The sequence below is a fragment of the Homo sapiens genome, chromosome 6 (genome assembly GCF_000001405.40).
Source record: "Homo sapiens chromosome 6, GRCh38.p14 Primary Assembly".
Lineage (NCBI taxonomy): Eukaryota > Metazoa > Chordata > Mammalia > Primates > Hominidae > Homo > Homo sapiens.
In genome coordinates this window covers 136,592,667-136,615,059 of record NC_000006.12, presented here as the reverse complement: position 1 = coordinate 136,615,059, position 22,393 = coordinate 136,592,667, and the positions used below count along the sequence as shown (strand labels likewise).

Here is a 22,393-nt window from a genome sequence, read left to right as displayed (position 1 = left end):
AAGTGTTGTTCTGCTCCAGAAATATAAAATAACTTTTATAATTTGAATCAGCAACATATATCAAGTACATAATTTTGAAGTCACACTTTCAATGTGGAGGCTTCATGAGGATTAGGTAAAAATCATGATATAATAGAATTAGTGGATACAGTAAGGTGAAGATTTTGACGCAAGGGGCTCAAAGAGATTTGACATATGAGTGGTTTTATGTTTGCTATTGAAAAATTGACGGGCCTTTCAGGAAGTTCTGGAATGTACATTATGCAAGTTTTGTCTTCCTGGGCAAGAGTCTCCTGATTAATAGTAAATTGTAATAGTAAAGTTTTATAGTCAATAATAAAGTTGTGTTGATGAGGCCAGTGGAATAGAAAGTCATGTTAATATGTTAATATGGAGAGTAAACTGTGGACAATTTCCGTTCTCCTGGGTTTGAATCTTAGCTCTGTCACTTAATAGCTTTGGGATCTTGAGCAAGTCAGTCATCCTCTCTGTGAATCAGTTTCCTCATCTGTAAAATGGGCATACCAATACTACCTTCTCATGGAAATGAATTAATGTATACAACTGGCTTAGTACCTGACACATTTCCCCTCAGATCCTACCACACCTTCAACCTCATAGAATTTACCTTAGGAGAAATAAAGGCCTTAAGTGGTTGTTTTGGTTTTACATATGGACATATATTTGGCTGACATTTTCCATTTGTATTGTTTAAATTTATACAGTAAAGTCTGGCTACATAATTAACTCATTGACAATTGCATGTCTTTTAGATACTCTCAGCCCCTGCATGAAGAAATAGCATTGCATAAACACCTGAAGCACAAAAATATTGTCCAGTATCTGGGCTCTTTCAGTGAGAATGGTTTCATTAAAATCTTCATGGAGCAGGTCCCTGGAGGTAAGAGATATTTCTTTCTTTAAAAAGTGTGAATGTTTAGAGCTTCGGAGGGGAGTAAAATTGAATGGGATTTACTAGCGTACAGGTCTTAATCTGTCTAAACTGAAAGAAAAATTGGACATGTGACATTACCTCCAGTTTGTTAGGAGATGTCAACCATAAATGATGAGATTTAGAAAATATCCTAATGTATAGAGTTTATTCCAGTGCAAAGCTTGAGGATAGCCACCCAGGAAACACAGACTCCAAAAGAATGGGCCAGTGTTCCAAAGTGAGGAAGTTCATGTTTCACTTATATAAGCTGAAGACTAACAGGGTGGCAACATCTTCTACCCAAAGTCATTACATTTAAGTGGTTACAGCTTGCTGTATTCCAAGGCACATTATTTTAATGTTCCATAAGGAGGGGTAATGGTCTCGGGGGATCTTTTCTTTGGCACCATTCAGTCTTCTCCAATCATTTACAGGACAAAAATGCGGAAGAGATTTAGCCTATAATCGCAGAATCAGAAGTTACAACTGAATGCTATATGACTCAGGCCACAAAGTCACATTCCTTAAATAATAAGGCTCAAATAATTTAAAGTTCTAGAAGCTTTACATGTGAATTATGTAATTTCACAGAGACAATACATAAATATGGGAACCATTTCAGTATCTATCATCATGACTTGAATTAAAGTTGGCAATTGACATTGGCCTTTTACTTAGACATATTTGATTACAAGCATCTTTAGAGTAGGGATATTTGCAAATTCATGTTTGAGCCCGATATCCAGTATAGCTCCTGGGCCACTGTGAAGAACCAATGACTGTTAGCTTAAATTACTGTTACATTATTAATACACTTTAAAGAGCTCATTTGAATGAGGATTTATTTACTATTTATCCCTACTTTACAGGAAGTCTTTCTGCTCTCCTTCGTTCCAAATGGGGTCCATTAAAAGACAATGAGCAAACAATTGGCTTTTATACAAAGCAAATACTGGAAGGATTAAAATATCTCCATGACAATCAGATAGTTCACCGGGACATAAAGGTGAGGTACACCAGCATTCATTTTCATGAGTTCTTTCTTTGCTGGGTTATTATTTTACTTGCAAAAGTCATATTGTGTTATGAGTATTAATTTAGAATGGTGAATAAGTAAATCTTAGAAACAGCAGAAATATAAAATATCGTTCAACCCTGAATCAGTTATTTATGTTCATGTCTTAACGCTTCTGCTCAAGGAACACACTGCTTAACTGCGTTCAGCCAACAAGATTGTGCTCCCACCACACAATGTTTCCTAGGAGCTCTGTGGTGTGGGATGCAGCTGTCAAAAGTTAAACAGGAGATGGCCCCTGGTCCTGAGGAGCTTATAGGCTGGTTAATCTTTGTATCCTTGCCCATAGTAGCTACTCAGTAAATACTTATTGAATCAATGGATGAATGGTTAGAAGAAAAAAAATTCCTCTTTTCTCACAAGTATCACATATTCATTGATTTAACTATAATTATAAGGTATAGATTCTCTAAAATAAGCTAAAATAATAACTTTACATTCTCTTTTTAAAAAGAAAATTCAGAACTAATACATTTTTTACAAAGTCTGGACTGTTGAAAATAAGTTAATATTAGTACCCTAAAATCAACCAAAAAGCCCATTTATCTATCATGTCCCTACATATTCCAGGAAAAGAAGTAAAGAAACATAGAAAAGAAAGTAAGGTAACTGGAAAGTTATGAAAATCGTAATTTAATTATACATACATCATTATATATCTGTAAATAGCAACAAGCTCTAACCAATTAGGAATCATATTTGATCTTGTGATCTGAGTAGCAGATTATGAAGAACTTATAACCATCCAATGAGTTCATGTTGCCCACTGACCAGATAGAGCTGATTTCTCAAGATGTAAGAATTGCAATTGAGAAAGAGTTTAATACACATAGAGATGGCCAAACAAAATATTGGATCTTATAATTATTCAAATCAGCTTCTCCAAAAATTTAGAGGCTAGGGTTTTTCAAAGATAGTTTGGTGAGCAGGGGGCTAGGGTCTGGGTGGTTGGGGATGTAATTATAGGGGTGTGGAAAATGGTTCTTGTGTGTTGAGTCCACTTCTGGGTAGGGGCCACAGGACTGGTTGAGTCCAGAGTCACAGGTCTGGGTGATGCCATCTGATAGTCAGAAATGGAGAAGCCTGTAAAGACATCTCAAAAGGCCAGTCTTCAGTTCTACAATAGTGATGTCAATTATAGGAACAATTGGGGAAGTTGCAAATCTTGTGACCCCCAGAATAATGGGCTGATAATCATTTGACTGTGCCTACATCTTAGCGGACTTTAGGCCCCTCTCATCCTCCTAACCTGGTGGCCTTTCATTAGTTTTACAAAGATAGTTTAGTTTTGGGGAAGGGCTATTATCAACTAAACTATAAATTAAATTTCTCCAAGTGAGCTTGGTCTACACCCTGGAATGACCAAGGGCAGTTTGGAAATTTAAAGCAAGATGGTGGTGGTTAGATCAGATCTCTTTTACTGTCATAATTTTCTCACTGTTGTAATTTTCGCAAAGGCGGTTGGTTTCAAACTGATAATATGTAAACAAAAAATAGTGTCAAGAATGCACTATTGAGATAAACTATTAATGAAGAATACAGAATTAATGTCGTTGGTAGCTGTAAGGACACCTTTTTTTTTTTTAAATTGGACTTACCAAGTCAACAACAGACAGTATCTGAAGAAAGATAACAATTGTGATTAAAGTCCTCTGTTCTCTAGGGTGACAATGTGTTGATTAATACCTACAGTGGTGTTCTCAAGATCTCTGACTTCGGAACATCAAAGAGGCTTGCTGGCATAAACCCCTGTACTGAAACTTTTACTGGTATGTTTTTGCAATGATGATACAGATCTTATGTAATTAAAGAAATAATTGCTGAGTTTGAGCACAATGTGAGAGAGAAATTCAGTTGGTGTTCTCACACACAGTAATGTTGGTATCTTTTTTCTTTCTTTTCTTTTCTTTTCTTTCTTTTTTTTTTTTTTTTTTTTTTTTTTTGAGACAGGGTCTTGCCCTGTCACCTAGGCTGGAATGCAGTGGTGTGATCACCTATCACTGCAGCCTCAAACTCCCAGGCTCAAGCAATCCTCCCACCTCAGCCTCCTGAGTAGCTGGGACTACAGGCATGCGCCACCACGCCCAGCTAATTTTTTTGTATTTTTGATGGAGACAAGGTTTCACCATGTTGCCCAGGCTGGTCTCAAACTCCTGGGCTCAAGCGATATACCTGTGGCCTCCAAAAGTGTTGGGATTACAGGCGTGAGCCACTGCGCCTGGCCAATGTTGGTATCTTTTGATGCTCACTGAAAAATGTGTTACAGAATTTGATTTGGCCCTTTTCTCTTCCTGTATTTATATGACTTGCTTAGTTAGTCTCCTGCTTAATGCCACTGAAGATTTTTTTTTTTTTTTAATTCTCAACTTGTTACTTATTTTTCTTTTCATGTAATTACTTCTTTCCTGGTTGGCCTACAATAACTCTAGCAAGATTTTTTTTTTTTTTTTTTTATTAAACATTTCCTTGGCCCAACCTCTCTGTGATGCTTACTCATACCCTAATCACTTCCCATTTGGACGATGAATTCCCTCTTTTACTGTTTACTCTCTGTGGTTGACTCCCCTACTCCACAATATAAATAACCCTAGGATTTCAATTCAGAAGAGGAAGTGACTCACCGACTCAGAAGAAGGGAGGGAGAGAGCTTTCCTGAGAAAGTAGGCAACGCAACCACTGAGCTGCCTCTGGTGCAAAGTACTGGGAGGGTGGAGACCAAGTGATTTCCAAAAAGGTAACAGTAGCCAAGAGGAAGCTCAGACTCAAGAGATTCATGACTGCCCAACAGTTATAGGGAGGGTGTGTGAGACTTCAAACCTGATCTCCATTTAGTTCTTATCACTCCATCATGCTAATTCTCATGAAGTGTTAAGTTCTTCTTATAGAGAGAAATTTAGCAGGAAAAAAAAAAGGGTAAGGGGAAGGGAAGAGAAAAAGATCATGAATAATCTTTGGTCTAATATGAAGCAACATGGCCCCATCTCAATTCTGTGAGGTAGGTGGGAGTACCTCCATTTTGTAGATGAGGAAATTACCTGGGAGAGAAGTGACATTGCAGTCAGAAGTCACAGCAGTGTGTACCGGATAGAACTCAGACTGGTTTTTTGTTTTTGTTTTTGTTTTGAGACTGGGTCTTGCTATGTTGCCCAGGCTGGTCTTGAACTCCTGGGTTTAAGCAGTCCACCCACCCCACTCTCCTAAGTATCTAGGATGTCATGCCTGGCAAAACTGTTTTTTTGTTTTTGTTTTTTCTTTTGAGATGGGTTCTCGCTCTGTAACCCAGGCTGAAGTACAGTGGTGTAATCTCTGCTCACTGTGACCTCCCCTACCCCGGGCTCAAGTGATTCTCCTACCTCAGCCTCCCTAGTAGCTGGGACCATAGGCACGCACCTCCATGCCTGGCTAATTTTTTGTATTTTTGGTAGAGACAGGGTTTCACCATGTTGCCCAGGCTGGTCTCAAACTCCTGACCTCAAGTGATCCACCTGCCTTGGACTCCCAAAGTGCTGGGATTACATGTGCGAACCCCCACGCCTAGCCAGAACTCAGATTTTGTATCTACTGTTTGCTCTTTGCTTTTACCTTCTGGCTCTAGTCCATCTTTCTCTCTACCTTCCTGCAGGAGGAGAGAGAGACATTCTGTGTAAGTTTTTTCCCTAGAGCATTCAGTCAGCAATACCCCTGGCCCAGCTCCCACCTCAGGGCAATGGATATTTTAGGGTACAGAATTAAACACATTTTGAATATATTTTTTTGAAAAAACTAAATTCTGACCTATTAATAACTTCAAATGTCTTTACATTTCTTTCCTCTTACTCTTAACTTGGCAAGCAGCAGTTTCAGTGCTGTCAAGACTCAGTAATTTCTGAGAGGAAAATCCCTCGTTTCACACACTTTGTGGGACAGGATGTTAACACAGTATCTTCTGCTACTAATCTGGGGAACATCTTTTTTGTAAAATCTCCAAAGGAATTGTAGGAAAGCAGTCCTCACAGAGCCCTTTTCTTGGACCTCTTCCACTGGTGTCACGTAAGAGTGACGTGTGTCACTAACATGTATAGATCTGTCCCCAGCACCGGTCCCGAGGGCCCTGCACATCATAGGCTTCAAACGTGAACTTGGTGGTCACTAAGTCCCAGGTGGGTTAGTCCCAGGTGCTCAGTCAATAAATTGGTCTGCATCACCTTTTGGTGATTTTGATGAGGGAAAAGGCAGCAGTGATCACCATTTATGGAGTGCTTACTGTGTTACCTTGCTCTGCACTAAGTGCTTTACATATGTTGTTTTATTGAAATTCATACATCAGCCTTAATCATTAGGTATCATTATCCCAGTTTGTGGTGAGAAAATGAAGGTTCAAAGAGGTTGAATAACTTGCCCAAGGTCACAAAGCTAGTTGGTAATAGAGCTGAGACTCAAGCAAGACTTAACAGGCCAAAGGGAATTAATTATCTTCTCCCAAACCTGTCCCCGGCACACTCTTCTGTCCCAGTTGGCAGCCACTCCCGACATTGTTATCCAGGGCACTTCTCTTTTCTCACACTCCAACCCAGTCCGTCCACGAAGCCTTCAAAACATGTCCAACATTGGGCCGGTTCTCACCACCTCTGCTGCTGCCACTCTCATCGCTCACCTGCATTTTCGGTGGCTTCCCCAACTGTGCTCCTGCTTCACTTTTGCCCCCTACTGTCTACTCTCAGCACTGCAGCCAGAGTGATCCCTCTGAAACATAAACCAAGTCCTATTGCTCAGAGCCCTCAGTGGCTTGCTTTTTTTTTTTGTTCAGAGTAAACAAATGTCAGAACCCTCATAGTGGGGGACAAGGCTCTGACCTGATTCGGAGTCTGTTCCCTTTCAGACCCCATTTCCTACTCTTCTTCTGTTATTTACTCAGAGCCAGAAACGTGGACCTTCCTGCATTTCCTCCATGACAGCAGGCAGGGTCCCATCACAGGGCCTTTGCACAGGCTTTTCCTCCTGCCGCTACCCCAGCTGTCTGCATGGGTAACTTTCTTACCTTCTTCCAGTCTCAACGCAGATGTCCACCTCTGCAGTGAGACCAGCCATGAACACCCTATTTACCATGGCAGCCTTCCTGCTGATCCTCTTCACTCGGGTCTATATTTTTTTGGTCATAACATGTCACTTTCTAACATGCTGTATAATTTACTTACTGTGCTGATAATTTATCATCTGGCTTCTACTGCAAAAACATAAGCCCAGGTATTTCTATATGTTTTCTCCTCTGCTGTATTCTAAGTGCCTAGAACAGTGCCTGGCCCATAGTAGGTCCTCAGTGTGGATCTGTTAAATGAATGAGTGAATGAATGAAATGTGACATTAGAGTTTAATTAACCACTAAGCTGTACCACCTCCCTGGGTAGTTGCAGCAGCAAAGAAATTCTACAATAGATATTTCAAAGCAATTTTTTAAAAAAACTTTAGAATGCAGATATGTGAGGTATGAGTTTTAGAGCAAATACTCTCATTGATTTTACTTAAGCCAGTGTTCAGGTTGGCTCTCATCTTCATTATCCAGCTTCGTAAATTGCTTTGTTTAAAATATTATGTGTCATGTATTTGTGGAGTAAAAAGAGGAGCAGATAAGAACACATGACTCAACCTGTTTTTCTGGCACTTGCTCAGTGGGGGATAATTAAACACAATTGGCAGATGGTTATCTGACAAATCAAATATTGCATAATTTGTTGTTGACATTACTTGAATTGTCTAATTTACGATGTTTAAAAATTAAAAATTTCCAAATTTTGATCCACTATAACTCCCACTTAGCTATTAGTACAACTTAAATTCTCTCATTAATTCTATTCTAGGCCCCGAGACAACAAAAGGGGGTGGTAGGCTTCGATGCATTTTCGAAAAGACCATTTGAGCTTATTTAAATCATACAAAATTATCACTTGGGGAAAAGCTACAAATGAAGAGAAATCATACCAATTTTGTAGTAAAGGTGGGCGAGCGTCTTTGGGGAGCATGGTTGCCTTGTCTTTGGCCAGGTGAAAGGCTTTCTGAGAGCAGACATGTGCAGTTGTATGTTAGCGTGAACTACTGCTATGCAGTGATAAGGTCTGCAGGATAAACCTAGAAAGACTGCAATACATAACAAAAATGATACACTTTTATTTTTGTAAACAATAGTCCATTTCTCACCTATGATAGTGCTTTTCAGAGGAACAGTTTGCAGGAATTTTACACAATTGTTTTCACCTAAAACCATGCATGAGGCATTCCTAAAAGGTGTCATCTGTATTTATCAAAATGTCTGTCACTTTGGTTATGAATCAGAAAATCTGAAGCAGTTCTTTTGGCAAACACCTCATAATTTGAAGTAATTCAACATGGCATCTTGGATGAGTTCTTGTTTGCTGACTATATTATTTGTATATCAGAAGCAGGGTATGCGGTGATATGTTTCTATTCATGCTCCTGACTCATTGCTAGACTTTAGGAAACCACTTTATGGGGTATTCGAAGTTCAAATCCAGCCTCTCATTTAGGTTAATGAGGTAGTTGTACTTAAGTGTTTACCTGGGGTATACTAGGCCAGAAGCAGACTAAGGGCTCGTGGCCCCCTCCACTTAATTCTTTCTATTATACCACACTCTCCACCTCTCTGATTCCATGCAGGCTTAAAGCTCTTCCCTTTTTCATTGTATTCTTTTTGTTTGTTTGTTTTTTTGAGACAGAGTCTCACTCTGTTGCCCAGGCTGGAGTGCAGTGGCGTGATCTCGGCTCACTGCAACCTCCGCCTCCTGGGTTCAACTGATTCTCCTGCCTCAGCCTCCTGAGTAGCTGGGATTATAGGTGCCCGCCACCAAGCCCGGCTAATTTTTGTATTTTTAGTAGAGACAGGGTTTCACCATGTTTGCCAGGCTGGTCTCAAACTCCTGACCTCGTGATCCGTCTGCCTTGGCCTCCCAAAGTGCTGGGATTACAGGCGTGAGCCACCGCACCCGGCCTTCACTTTATTCTTAGTCACTGTATCTGATTATGTGTCTATATGGATGGCTCATGGCCTGTCTTTGATCTCTTAAACCTGTTAGTCCATGGACCACAGACAGCAGCAGGAGTCATGTATATTTGGATTACAGAATAGGGCACACCAGAAATTTATTTGCATTAATTTTCACAATGGCTTTCAGAATCTTTATGCTGTCATGATTAAGAAATAAGAATGAAAACAGAAGAGTTAAAGCATTCAATTTAGGAACTGAAAAATAGAGATAGAGCTAAGGAAATGGATGAATGAACTATATTCTCTTCTGGAAAAGATTAGAAGTTTACATAATAACAGTCTTCATGCACTTCAAGAAATGTGTACTGATGTTATTGTTCTCAAAAGACTAATTGTTAGAAGTTTCTAAGAAGCCCAATGAAATGATGCCTCACTTATACTCCACTGTCTAGGGAATAAGAGCGTACCTATTCATAACCAGATAATATGGGTAAAGTATTTTTATGTCACTGATGAAATCCATTATAAAAACTGCTATTTCCACTTTTATTAATAGCAGAGAAAACTGGAACTCACAAACGATATTAGGACTTGAATCATGTTTTTACAGTTGTCTCATTTCTGTTGAAAAATTCTGTTGAAAAACTGTCATTAGATACCCTTCTGTTTTATCTTTTTAAAATGGAAATGTGTTTGAATTGTTTCCAGGTACCCTCCAGTATATGGCACCAGAAATAATAGATAAAGGACCAAGAGGCTACGGAAAAGCAGCAGACATCTGGTCTCTGGGCTGTACAATCATTGAAATGGCCACAGGAAAACCCCCATTTTATGAACTGGGAGAACCACAAGCAGCTATGTTCAAGGTCACACTTCATTTCTCTTAAAAACAAATGGATAAAGCTTTTTATAGCTGTTGGATGTTCTGTGTGTGTGTGTCATATTTTTTTAGATAAAGGGTGCTAAGTAAACACAACTTAGAACACATTAAAGGTCAAGAAGATTCTCTCTCGGTTAGAACCAGCGCTGGTGCCTCACACAGTGGATCTCTCTGTGCCTTAGTTTTCTCAGCTATAAAGTGAGATTCAATGTAACTTCCATTGACCACCTTTTAACAACGCAGTATAAATAACACATGACTATACTGAAGATGATTTAAGCCCTTTGGGAAACAGTCTGAAAATTTTCCGTGAATGAAGATAGAAGAACTTTTTTTATAATCCATTTAGGAATTAAACCAAAATTAATAATTTCCTTTACTTCTCTACCATAATAGTTTGAAGGCTTCATTTTTTTTAAAAAAAAAAGAGCATAATTACCATTTTAAGTAAATCAGTCTTATTCTCATATACCTACTCCTCTAGCTTGTTAATTTGCCCATCAGTAACTCCTATGGGAGGAGGAAGAAGCCCCACCTTTTGCAGTAGGAGGTACCTGATAATAGAAATAGGCTCATGAGAGCACAAGTGCCAGCATTTTGAGATCTGGGGACTGAGCATGGCTATGACCTGCATCTTGAATCCCTGCAGTCCTCCGCTGCCAGACTGCCAGGCCAACAGGAAGTTTGAAATGGAAACATGCTTCCCAAGTAGTAAAACTCACACATCTGCTACTTTCTAAGGCAGAGGACTTAAAAAAAAATTATTTATTTATTTATTTATTTTTTGTGCTCCCCTGTGGGATCCAAGGCAAAGGACTTTTTCTTTTCTTTTTTTTTCTTTTTTTCTTTCTTTCTTTCTTCTTTTTTTTTGTGGAGACAGAGTCTCGATCTATCACCCAGGCTGGAGTGCAGTGGCGCGATCTCGGCTCACTGCAACCTCCGTCTCCTGAGTTCAAGCAATTCTCGTGCCTCAGCCTCCTGAGTAGCTGGGATTGCAGGCACACACCATGACACCCAGCTAATTTTTTATATTTTAGTACAGACGGGGTTTCACCATGCTGCCCAGGCTGGTCTCAAACTCCTGAGCTCAGGCCCTCCGCCTGCCTTGGCCTCCCAAAGTGTTGGGATTACCGGCATGAGCCACGCGTTTGGCCTGAGAGGACTTTTGATGGTAATTGTTATTCCTCTCCCTGCTGCAGACCATGTTTCTAGCTCTTATTCCATCTGTGCATAGCCTCTTGTGAGGGGCCATGTGTTGTTACAGACCTTCTGCTTTTGTGCAAAGCTTGGCTTTATGCTTGAAGACAATCTGATAGGACACTGCTGGTATAAAAATGAGTAGTGTGACCAAACCTCAGAGAGCAATGGCAGGTGCCAAGAGAGGTGCCTTTCTTGCCATGAGTGGATGTCTTTCTCTTCTTGGCCAGTCTTTCAGGTTTTCTCCAGTGTCTAGGACTTATCTGAAATGCTGCTTTATAATTCACGAATGCAATGATTATTATACCATGTGTTTTTTTGTCACATTAGGCCAGTCTAAGCTGTGCACAGGAAGTTGCTATCTTAGAGAGATGACATGACATAGACTGTGGCACCAGTTTACAGTGTTTGAATCCAGGCTCCAACATGGTCAAGATATTTGAGACTTTGAGCAAATTATTTAACCTGCTTGTGCCTCAGTTTCCTCATCTATAAAATAAGGATAAAAATAGTACCTGTCAGCCAAGCGTGGTGGCTCACACCTATAATCCCAGCACTTTGGGAGGCTGAGGCGGGCAGATCACCTGAGGCCAGGAGTTCAAGACCAGCCTGGCCAACATGGTGAAACCTCATCTCTACTAAAAAAAAAAAAAAAAAATTAGGGGGGCACAGTGGCAGGCACCTGTAATCCCAGCTACTTGGGAGGCTGAGGCAGGAGAATCACTTGGACTGGGGAGATGGAGGTTGCAGTGAGTCAAGATCGCACCACTGCACTCCAACCTGGGCAAAAAATGAGACTCCATCTTAAAAAAAAAAAAAAAGTACCTGTATAATAAGAGCTTTTTGAGGAGTGTATGAGGTAAAATGTACCAAGCACTTAGAACTGTGTCTGACACATGGTATCGGCTATATAATTCTTACAAATAATTATATATTGTTTATATTACAATGAATTTACATAAGCTGTATAAGAACAAAAGGATTTCCTTTGAAAATTTGCTCTGTACTAAAAAATGAAAATACCATTAATTTTTTTTAGAATAGCAGTAATAAGTAAATTCTAATTGTTATAAAAATATTGTTTAATTTTAAAGTGCTTTTAAATATCTCTTTTAATGCAGGTGATTTGAGACAGGGAAGATATTCACAAATCATGTAATAGGGAAAAGAACATAGGCTTTAATCCGAACAATTCAGGTTCAAATCCCAGATCTCCCTTTTCTTAGCCTTGTTACCTCATCCTTTCTAAGCCTTATTTTCCTCATTGGTGTAACAAGGAAAATATTTAATCCGCTGGATTGTTGGAAGGATTTGATGAGATCTGTAAGTGGAGAAACCCCAGCACAATGCCCAGCACTTAGCTACTGTGAGCAACGCAGTGGTCTCAGCTCGGTGGCTGAGCATGGTGGCTCGTGGCTGAAATCCCAGCACTCTGGGAGGCTGAGGTGGGTGGATTGCTTGAGCCCAGGAGTTTGGACCAGCCTGTGCGACATGGCAAAACCCCATCTCTACAAAAAGTACAAAAAATTAGCCAGGCGTGGTGGCATATGCCTGTAGTCCGAGCTACCTCAGGAGGCTGAGGTGAAAGACTCGCTTGAGCCTGGGAGGTCGAGACTGCAGTGAGCTGAGATTGCACCACTCTGCACTCCAGCCTGGGTGACAGAGTGAGATCCTGTCTCAAAAAAAAGAAAGAAAGAAAGAAAAATAAAGATCCTTTTTGTGTGCCAATGTACCAATATGTTCTAAAGCTTTGAAGGACTAAATTATTACTTCATAGTGCTGCCTACTGTCTTCAACTAATTATTCTGCCTGTGCCATTGGTAAAGGTACCAAGGCACTCTGTTGATCTTCTATAACCTGCAGCAAACACATCTTATCTCCCTTTGAGAAAAGCCATAAGTTTGTGTTGTATGATAAGGGATCTTGTTGCATTGGGGGGTCAAGTTATGGAAGCTGGAGTTCAGGTGCTGAGATGTTCACTCAGAAGGCACATTGCACTTTTTATATTTATGTCTTAGGTGGGAATGTTTAAAGTCCACCCTGAGATCCCAGAGTCCATGTCTGCAGAGGCCAAGGCATTCATACTGAAATGTTTTGAACCAGATCCTGACAAGAGAGCCTGTGCTAACGACTTGCTTGTTGATGAGTTTTTAAAAGTTTCAAGCAAAAAGAAAAAGACACAACCTAAGCTTTCAGGTATGTGGTTGCATTGAAGAGGATATAGTCTGAGTCCTTCAATCCTAAGCTTTTAAGATGGAAGAATTTTCCGGAAGTAAACTAACCTGTTTACAGATATCACTGGAAATTGGTATAAATATTAGCACAGTGTTCTCAGGCATTTGGTTGCAGTATCAGGGAGCTGTATTCCATCAATTTCACAAGTGCTGGGACCTCATACATAATAGTCTTCAATCACATAGTTAGTAGGTAGTTAATATGTCACCATCTATATCACTCTAACATTGTGGATACTAAGGTTCAAGTGTAAGAGGGGTTAAATTTAGCCTTTTAGAGCTGAAACCCCAGATTACCACAAATGGGCCTACAGAGCCATTATAGAGCTGTTGGATTTCCAAGCCCTGTAGGTAATAGGTTCTTTTAAGGCAGTAGAAAATACCTGTTGCCTCTTAGGGTATATACTTCTGAATAATTACACCCAAAAAAAGGCAAGAAGGAAAAAGAAAGAGAGAAAAGATTGCCAGCTATAAATAAAACAGTAGTGTAAAAATATAAGTACATTATATTTTTGCAATAATTGTCTATAACTCAGAAAAAAAAGTAAAGGTTCCAATTGTTCTTGGCGTTTTTTGATGTTTATATTGGAGGAGAATGGGCAGATTGAATGTTTGGAAAGGACATTGACCCCATTTCAGGCATTCATTTTTTGTTGATTTCTCAGTTTAACAACAAACCCAGCACGTGCTTATTCATGGCTGTTTGCTTTTCTTTCCACAGCTCTTTCAGCTGGATCAAATGGTGAGTTTGTTTTTACTTTGCCCATTGAGCTGAGACCTGGTGTCTGGTGTGATAAACTCCAGACTTCCCATCAAGTAGCCTCATGCTCTGCTCCTGGCTTACATGGGGGGAAAGGAGGGTGCGGTACTAGATACTATAAGGATGTGTGCAGCTGCAAGCCTGGCTGGGCTTATTCCTTTGGAAATCCTTCATCTTTCTCTTTCATGAGTGGGGATGGCTTAAATTTTTTCTCCCTAAAAGCAAGATGGTGACTGTGTTTTTGACAGCTTCAATTTGAGTGAAGTAAATGCTTCTTTATCTAGGAACCAGTTGACTACCTAATGTATTTCTTGTGGAAAATGTAAATGCCAGATACCTTCCTCTGTCATCTTTGGGGTGATACATTCTATTTTTAGTGGCCAGGAGTTATTGTGCCTTTGTTTTCTAACGTTGGCTTTTGCGGATCATAACTAGGAAGGTAGAGAAAGTAGATTTGCTCTAAGAAGATCCATTAAAGCATTTAGAAGAATAATAAAGAAATGAACATGAGGCTGGGCATGGTGGTTCACGCCTATAGTCTTAGCACTTTGGGAGGCCGAGATGGTCAGATTGCTTGAGCTCAGGAATTCAATACCAGCCTGGGCAATATGGTGAGACCCCCATCTCTACTAAAAATACAGAAAAATAGCTGGGTGCGGTGGTGCATGCCTATGGTCCCAGCTACTAGGGAGGCTGAGGTGGGAGGATCGCTTGAGACTGGGGTGGTGGAGGTTGTAGTGAGCCGTGATTATACCACTGCACTCCAGCCTGGGTGACAGAGCGAGACCCTGTCTCAAAAAAAAAAAAAAAAAAAAATTAACAGCATGGTGTTGGATTTTCCTAAGTTGGATGTGTGGTTGATCAAACAGTTCAGGGGGCTTAATGTTCATTGTGCATGGGTTCTGCAGGCCAAGGGCAGGTTTTTGCAGGTTCCTCTGATGCCCCAAAGCCAGTCAGCCCAGAGTAGAGGCCTGTTAATTGGGGTTTCCTGGGTACAGCCTCTCTACTTTTTCTTCTTCCATTTCTTCCATTCTGAGAATCTGGGGAAACTCAGAAGAAGACAGGCACACCCTTGTACCTCTTTTCTCCACAGACAGCCTGGGCTCCGGAAGGCAGCCTTGCATTGTCACAAAGTCGGCCCTGCAGTGCTTGGCAACCTTCTGACCAGCCTGCTTCTGGTGTCCTAAAATGGGCACTGACTTCAGAATTACACAGAAGTGGGTTCTGATCCCATTGACCCACTTTCTAAATATGGGACATGCATATTTCTTCTGTCATTCGGTGCTGGTAACATTACCTACTTCACAGATTTGGTTCTGGGAATAAAATAAAATAATATCCTAAAAGAGCCTTGGAGCTGTGCCTGGAAGTTTAATCCATGATTGTTTTATCCCTTCCACATGGCTTGGTTTTTGTTCGCAGGAAATAGTTTCCCATCACACACACGCATTTAACTTCTGTGAACTCAACCATACACACTTGGCAAGAGCGTGCATATATGAGAGAGAGAGAGAGAGAGAGAGAGAGATCCTTTAAGTGGACAGTTCTATGTCTTCTCAGTGACTATGTACCTTGGGGTGAGCGTGAGATGGACGGTGTAAACCTGCTGAACTCTAGTCAGTCAGGTTCCCACTGCCCTTTCGCCGTTCTTGCTTACATATGGACTTGGGCCTAGAAAAAGGGGCAGTCCCCAATTCCCTGCATGATTAAACTGTTCAGACTCTCAGCTAAAACAATATCATTACATGGATGATGTGCCTCCTCCCTCTCCTTCCTAGGAGAGCAGGACAGATGTGCTAACCAAATTAGGAGCTAAAATCCACGCCCCCCCCCCCTTTTTTTTTTGAGACGGAGTCCTAGGCTGGAGTGCAGTGGCATAATCTCAGCTCACTGCAACCTCTGCCTCCCAGGCTCAAGCGATCCTCCCACCTCACCCTCCTGAGTAGCTGGGACTGTAGGTGCCCACTACCACGCCCAGCTAATTTTTGTATTTTTAGTAAAGACGGGGTTTCGCCATGTTGGCCAGGCTGGTCTGGAACTCCTGGCCTCAAGTGATCTACCACCTCGGCCTCCCAAAGTGCTGGGATTACATGTGCCACCATGCCTTGCCTAAAATCCCATTTGATTGTTCCCAGGTATTATAGGAAATGGCCTGCCTCATGTCAATTGAAACAATGACCTATTAGCTCGTCTTACTCTCCTTCTAGATGAGTACAAGATACAGGCCTCTTCCTTCCCCAGGTACTTTCTATAGGCCATATATGTGTTTCTGTCCAGAGCACAGGCCCACCTCTCAAGGTTCTCTACCTCCCATAACTGCACTTGGCTTCCCCTCAAGAGGGGAGTAAGAGGGTGGTGACAATGAGACCCCCTTCCCCTTTAGAGAGGGACATGACTTGTCTCATCCTGACTGCTCTTCCATGGCCACACACAGACCCAGAGATTTAAGTAATTCATGTCAGCTTAAATATTAATTGTACAGTTATGGTGTGCACAGGAAATGTGCTAGGCCCTGAACGTATAAGGATGATAAAGACAGAGTTCCTGATTTTAAAGAGCCATTGACCTTATAGGAGAAAAACACTGGAAAAAATCATCTCCACCATAGTATAGTTTAGTCTGTGCAGAGGAGTCAAAAGGGAGAGACAGTGACTGAAGTCAGTCTGAGAATGCTGTTTCAAGGCAGACTTTCCAGTGAGGTGCACCTGATGAGTAAGGACAAATATGAACTTAACAGGTGAATGGGGAGTGGAGATCCAGGTGAGGCGACTTCTCGCATGAGTTAATGCCAGGATGTGTGAAACTTTACTGTGTGTTAAGGGAGGCTTGCTGGCTCAGCAGCACTGGTGCTTAAAGTAAAAGGGGAGGGATGATGCTGGAGTGGGGAGCAGGCTCAGATCCCAAAGGGCTCCTTATGAAATGTTAAGGAATCAGCAAGGAGGGTTGGGGAGCCGGGGAAAATTTTTATCTGAAATAATATTATAGACCAGCACTGGACCTATGATTCTACAGTAAGAGAAATGTCATTTATCTGCCCTGTCCAATACATTAGCCACTAGTCATATGTGGCTATTAGACACTAAACATGGCTACCATGGCTGAGGCACTGAATTTTTATTATTTAAATGTCAGTGTTAATAACCATATGTGGGTAGTAGTGACCATATTGGACAGTGAAGCTATTGATGGATCATTCCGATGGCTGTGTGAGGATGGTTTATTTAGTAAGATTTATTCCATAACATTTTTAACCCTCTGCTATGCACTTGGCACTAGAATGTAGGCACAAGGCACTAGGAATATAGCTATGCCTCAGTTGGTCCCAGATCCTGCCTGCATGGATCTCTTGCAATGCTTGTTAAAAATTAAAATGCCTGGCCCTTCTCAGAATCTGGAGGTGCAAGCTGGAATTCTGTACTTTTAAGTAAACCCAGATGATTCTTGTCATCACTGCAGTGTGAGAACCACTATTCTATGTTTGGCCAGTTGGAGACTGGAGGCAGGATGGCCAGTTAGGAGACTCTGTGTTGTGGCCAGACTGTTCCTAAACTGTCTAGGAGAAGGAGAACCATAAAGATCCCTAGTGATCATGAATAGCTGTTAGGATCTGAGGCCACCCTCACAGCAATGGAAGGGATTTAGAAAATCCCCGTTTTCCCAAAGCAGGAATGTATCTAATTCCTTAAAGGTCGCACTGTCTCCCTTCCATAGATGGGAGCTCCCAGCAATCTGGAGTCCATAGGGTTGCCAGTCACCCCTCCTGACTCCAGCCTACTCCTGGCCTCTTGGTAAAGCTATCTCTTAGGGGATATGGGGCTCACACCCCTTCCCATCAGCCCCTGAAATAAGGCAATGAGAATCATCTCCTTAGAGACACACCTTTGACATGTCCTATCCTCAGAGAGGTTCATTCAGCCTCTTTTAGACTCTTCGTGGTCAGCCCCATAGAGGAGGGCTTCTTAATACCTGGCAAGATATCAGCAGTAAGGCTGCCTGTGACTGGAAATCCTGCCAGGCTCCTCTCTTGCAGCCTGGGGTCCCAATCACTCACGTGTATGAGCTTATGTTCGAGGAACTTGTAACCTCTGTGATATCTGGAAACTGTCACCGTGCTCCCCTGGAAATAGTTACACTTGAGCTTCTTCCCATTTACAGTGACACAGAAAGGCACTACGCATTCTCACTTGCCTGGAAATCGTCATAACTTAAGAAGGTAGAAATCTCAGGCGTGGATTTGATCATATTTCCACCACAAACGTATAAAGCAAACTGTCTCAGCACCACCTGTCTTGCTCTTTCCACCCCTTACAATAGAGAAAACATCCATTTTCCTACAGAAGGCCAATCCCTCACAGATGAGTTCTGGCTCCTGTGGAGCCCCCGTGACTCCTCCAGCTTCTGCCTCTCCCAGTGAGTTCCATATACACATGCTCTAATGTCTTTTGTCCTAAACCCGTCCTTCCCCTGATCTACAAATGGCCTCACTGGCTGACACCACCACCTTTTTTTGCCCCACATCACAGCTTCCCGTCTTGAAGTACAGTGTCTCCAGATCTCCACCTCTTCCTTCCCACCCATGTAGCGTCTCCCCTTCCACGCGATCACTGGGCCTGCTCTGGCCAAGATCTAATGAGATCTCTTTAGCCAAATCCAACAAGTGCCTTTCTCAACCTACTCAACTTCTCAGTGGCTCTCAGCCTGGATGACTGTTCTCTCTTACTTTCGCCCTCTCCTGTGTGGGCTTCCATGACACCCCATTTTCTCTGTTTTCCTCCAACCTCATGGCTGCTCCTTGTCATTCTCCTTGGCTGCCTGTTCATCCCCTTCTTTTCCTCTAAATATTGGCATTCTTAAGGGCCGGGTCTATGCTGTCTTTTTATCTTTCCCCAAATTATGTCATCCTTTACTTTAAATACCATCTCCAGCCAGGTAGGCTGCTGAGGTTCTATCTAGCCCAGTCTTCTGAGCTCCAGACTCATATCCAATTGCTTTTTTCTTTTTTAGATGGAGTCTTGCTGGCGGCTGGAGTGCAGTGGCATGATCTTGGCTCACTGCAACTTCCGCCTCCTGGGTTCAAGCAATTCTCCTGCCTCAGCCTCCTGAGTAGCTGTCACTACAGGCACACACCACCATGTCAGGCTAATTTTTGTATTTTTAGTAGAAGCGAGGTTTCACCATGTTGGTGTCTTGAACTCCCAACATGAGATAATCCTCCTGCCTCAGCCTCCCAAAGTGCTGGGATTACAGCCGTGAGCCACCGCGCCCAGCCGCCCAATTGCCGTCTTCATTTTTCAAACTGAACTGTCAAATAACACCCCTTATCCACTAAAAAGAACTTTCCTTTTTGGCCTGTATTATTTCTCATCTTAGAATATAAGTACGATATGCATCCATTCAGTTTCTTAGGCCAGAATTCTACTTTGGAGTCATTTTTGATTCTTCCTTTTCACACTCTTCACTCCAGTCCATCAGCAACTCCTGCTGGCTACCTGACATATAGTAGATGATCCACAACTGTATGTTGGATGAATGAATGCATGTGCCTAATAGAGAAGGGGACTCAATCTAGAATCAGGTTCACTCATTTAAAATCAAGCAGGCCGGGTGCGGTGGCTCAACACCTGTAATCCCAGAACTTTGGGAGGCCGAAGCAGGTGGATTACTTGATGTCAGGAGTTTGAGACCAGCCTGGCCGACATGGCGAAACCCTATACAAAAATTAGCCAGGGGTGGTGGCACATGCCTGTAATCCCAGCTACTTGGGAGGCTGAGGCAGGAAAATCACTTGAACCTAGGAGGCGGAGGTTGTAGTGAGCCAAGATCATGCCACTGCACTCCAGCCTGAGCAAAATAGTGTGACTCTGTCTCAAAAATAAAATAAAATCAAACCGAGGAGGGAATCAGGGCTCTGCACATAGAACATGCAGAATATCTGTAAGTCCCTTTATTTCCTTAACGAGCCATAGTGACAGGCACTCGGTTCCATCCTTAAGCATATACAGTTTTACCTCATTAGGCCTCCTTTTAGGCAGTCGGTAGTCACAGCAACGTTAAAATTCACAGGCGTGACACAAGTCCTCTCATTACTGGATAATCAAACCACATGATATGACCAAAAAGCCAAAATACAGGATAATTCAAGTCCTTACTCCTTCTCTTCTTTAGATACACATACATTTACCACACACACACACACACACAAACACGGAAACACACGATAGGAATCCCTCATCTTGTACTCTTCTAGTCTAGTCTGTACTAGTCTCTTTACTCCCAAGAAACAACAATTTTGTCTTTGAAATATGAATGATGCACACCTCCGTTTCTGAGTGTGGCATGCATCTCATAAAAATGGGCTGGTGAAGAAACTCACCAAGTCTGAAGGATCAGCAGTGAGTTCCACTGCAGGGCTTGTATCCCTTCTTGTAAAGAGATCAGCTACTCAGTCAAGCCAAGAGCTCTTCTTCAGCTGTATTCTTCCATCAGTAACATTTAACTTTAGGGACTTGACATCTCATAGCAGTGAAACTCTTTCTCCCAAGCAGCTATTTTTTTCTGTTCTAAAGTCCGTTCCCCCCAAATAGCGAGATGTTGACTCTAAAGTGAAACAAGGCACACTATAGACCTTGACCTTCCCCAGGAATGACTCAAAAGCAGTTTGGTGTTTGGGCCCCCCTTCAAACCTTTCTTCTCTCAGACAACCTTACTATTACCAGCAAGGAAGAGGTCACCCATTTCCTTTCTGCTGTAGCAGCACTGCCCAAAATATGGTCCGTGAAATGCTAGGCCCATGAGCTGCTCCAGAATATGTGGAAACAATACATGCCAGGCATTTCCCCTGCCATATATCATTTGCATACTGGTACTTAATTGGTCAATTCAGCAACTCTTTGTGGCTTCCTCTTGCTTCCTGCCTTCTAGTGATTCAGCTACAGAACTATTTAAATAACAGCAGATAAGTCAACCAATTCATCCTGGGGAGACTTTCCAGTTACTGACCAGTAAGGTGGTTTCCCCCGAGGTCAGCTGTTCCTGAAAGCTGTATGTACTTCCGTCTTTCTCGCTACAGCTGAAACCAATGTCATGAGTCCCCTATCCTTGAGATCAGGGCAGTTGATTCAGTTCAGCCCAAGAGGAATTAAGTAAGAAGGAGATTCCAGGCAACAGTGGATTTCCTTTTCTATAATTTTATACCTTCATTCTTTATTAAAATGCTTTTGTAGCATTAGGATGTGTGTTTGATAAAGATGTTTCTGGCAAAAACCACTTTCTTTTTTTTTTTTTTTTTTGCATATCTGTCCATAGGATAGATCATGGACAGTATTTTATTGTGATTCAGATACCCGTTTCTCTCATTAGGAGTGAGGCTGAGAAGTTTTATATACATTTGGGAGCTTTTTGTGTTTTTCTTTCTGTGAACTGTTCAGGCATACATATACAGAGACTGACTAGCTGTCCTCCAGACCTGTTTCCTTTTCCTTCTGGGGTTTCCCAGCCTCCTGGCAAGTAACTGTGGCTGGTGGACTGAGGCTTGGGCAATGGATGGTGGGCCCGAGTGGCAACTCACCCAAGCATGATTCATAAAAACTTCCTATGAGATCCTCCTACTCTTTCTTCCCCATCTGCTGGAAAGATGTTGACACCCAGAGCAACCTATGAAGCTTTCTTTAAAACCAATGTTTGAGGAAATATAGGCAACTCCACTGTCTTATTCTCCATCCAAATAAAGAAGCAGCTCATGTCTACTAGAGAATCATAGTATCTGAGAACCAGGACAGACCTAAGAGATCATCTAGTCCATCTGTTTCCAAAATTTGTTTTCAGTGATGAATCCTTTTTTATATGAATCCTTAAGCAGAACTGTGATATATGACAGTCAGCATATTTTCTCTGGTTTCAGGTATAACAGGATTGGAACCTGTGGTCTAGACCTACAGCATCCCACTCACTCATCCCAACCAAGGCAGCCCCAAGATGCTAATGGAGACACTTAAGCCCCTGAAGAACAGGCTTAAAGATTATCAATCTGACCCTGAATTTGATAAATATGAAAACTGAGACCCATAAATAGAAATAATTAGTAGTCAGTAAAAATGAGGGGATCAGACCCTCAGTAGACCCACTGAACTTGGGCTTCCTTGACTGTTTTGGTACCCCAGAGATATCCCTCCCAGGGCCTGGGAGGCCCTTTCCTGGCTACCCTGCTGTATGGGTTATGCTGAGCAAGGGAGGCAGTCATAACACATGACCGTTCCCTTACATAGCATAATTATGCTGCTCATTGCAACAAGATATTTGACAAAGAATATGGCCTCTTTCAATGGGTGTTTCAGTATG

At 41.8% G+C, this 22,393-nt stretch overlaps 1 protein-coding gene across 8 annotated transcripts in view, besides 3 other annotated features; it reads left to right on the top strand.

Moving 5' to 3' along the window:
• MAP3K5 (mitogen-activated protein kinase kinase kinase 5) overlaps positions 1–22,393 on the top strand; it is a 236,046-nt gene that overhangs the window by 178,032 nt on the left and 35,621 nt on the right. For all 8 annotated transcript variants that reach the window (XM_017010875.2, XM_047418784.1, NM_001438058.1 and 5 more), the window contains 6 exons: positions 774–901; positions 1,804–1,940; positions 3,673–3,778; positions 9,694–9,851; positions 13,081–13,258; positions 14,018–14,038. In XM_017010875.2, coding sequence (XP_016866364.1) covers positions 774–901; positions 1,804–1,940; positions 3,673–3,778; positions 9,694–9,851; positions 13,081–13,258; positions 14,018–14,038 — 728 coding nt within the window. The remainder of the gene's footprint in view (positions 1–773; positions 902–1,803; positions 1,941–3,672; positions 3,779–9,693; positions 9,852–13,080; positions 13,259–14,017; positions 14,039–22,393) is intronic.
• Positions 1,325–1,894: an enhancer, noted in NCBI's record as "OCT4-NANOG hESC enhancer chr6:136934304-136934873 (GRCh37/hg19 assembly coordinates)". NCBI's record gives its function as "activates a minimal SCP1, AML or CMV promoter by ChIP-STARR-seq in primed H9 embryonic stem cells {active_cell/tissue: H9 hESC(primed)}" and the evidence as "EXISTENCE:reporter gene assay evidence [ECO:0000049][PMID:30033119]".
• Positions 1,895–2,465: an enhancer, noted in NCBI's record as "OCT4-NANOG hESC enhancer chr6:136933733-136934303 (GRCh37/hg19 assembly coordinates)". NCBI's record gives its function as "activates a minimal SCP1, AML or CMV promoter by ChIP-STARR-seq in primed H9 embryonic stem cells {active_cell/tissue: H9 hESC(primed)}" and the evidence as "EXISTENCE:reporter gene assay evidence [ECO:0000049][PMID:30033119]".
• Positions 20,412–20,571: an enhancer, noted in NCBI's record as "active region_25115". NCBI's record gives its function as "activates an Ori minimal core promoter by ATAC-STARR-seq in GM12878 lymphoblastoid cells {active_cell/tissue: GM12878}" and the evidence as "EXISTENCE:reporter gene assay evidence [ECO:0000049][PMID:35858748]".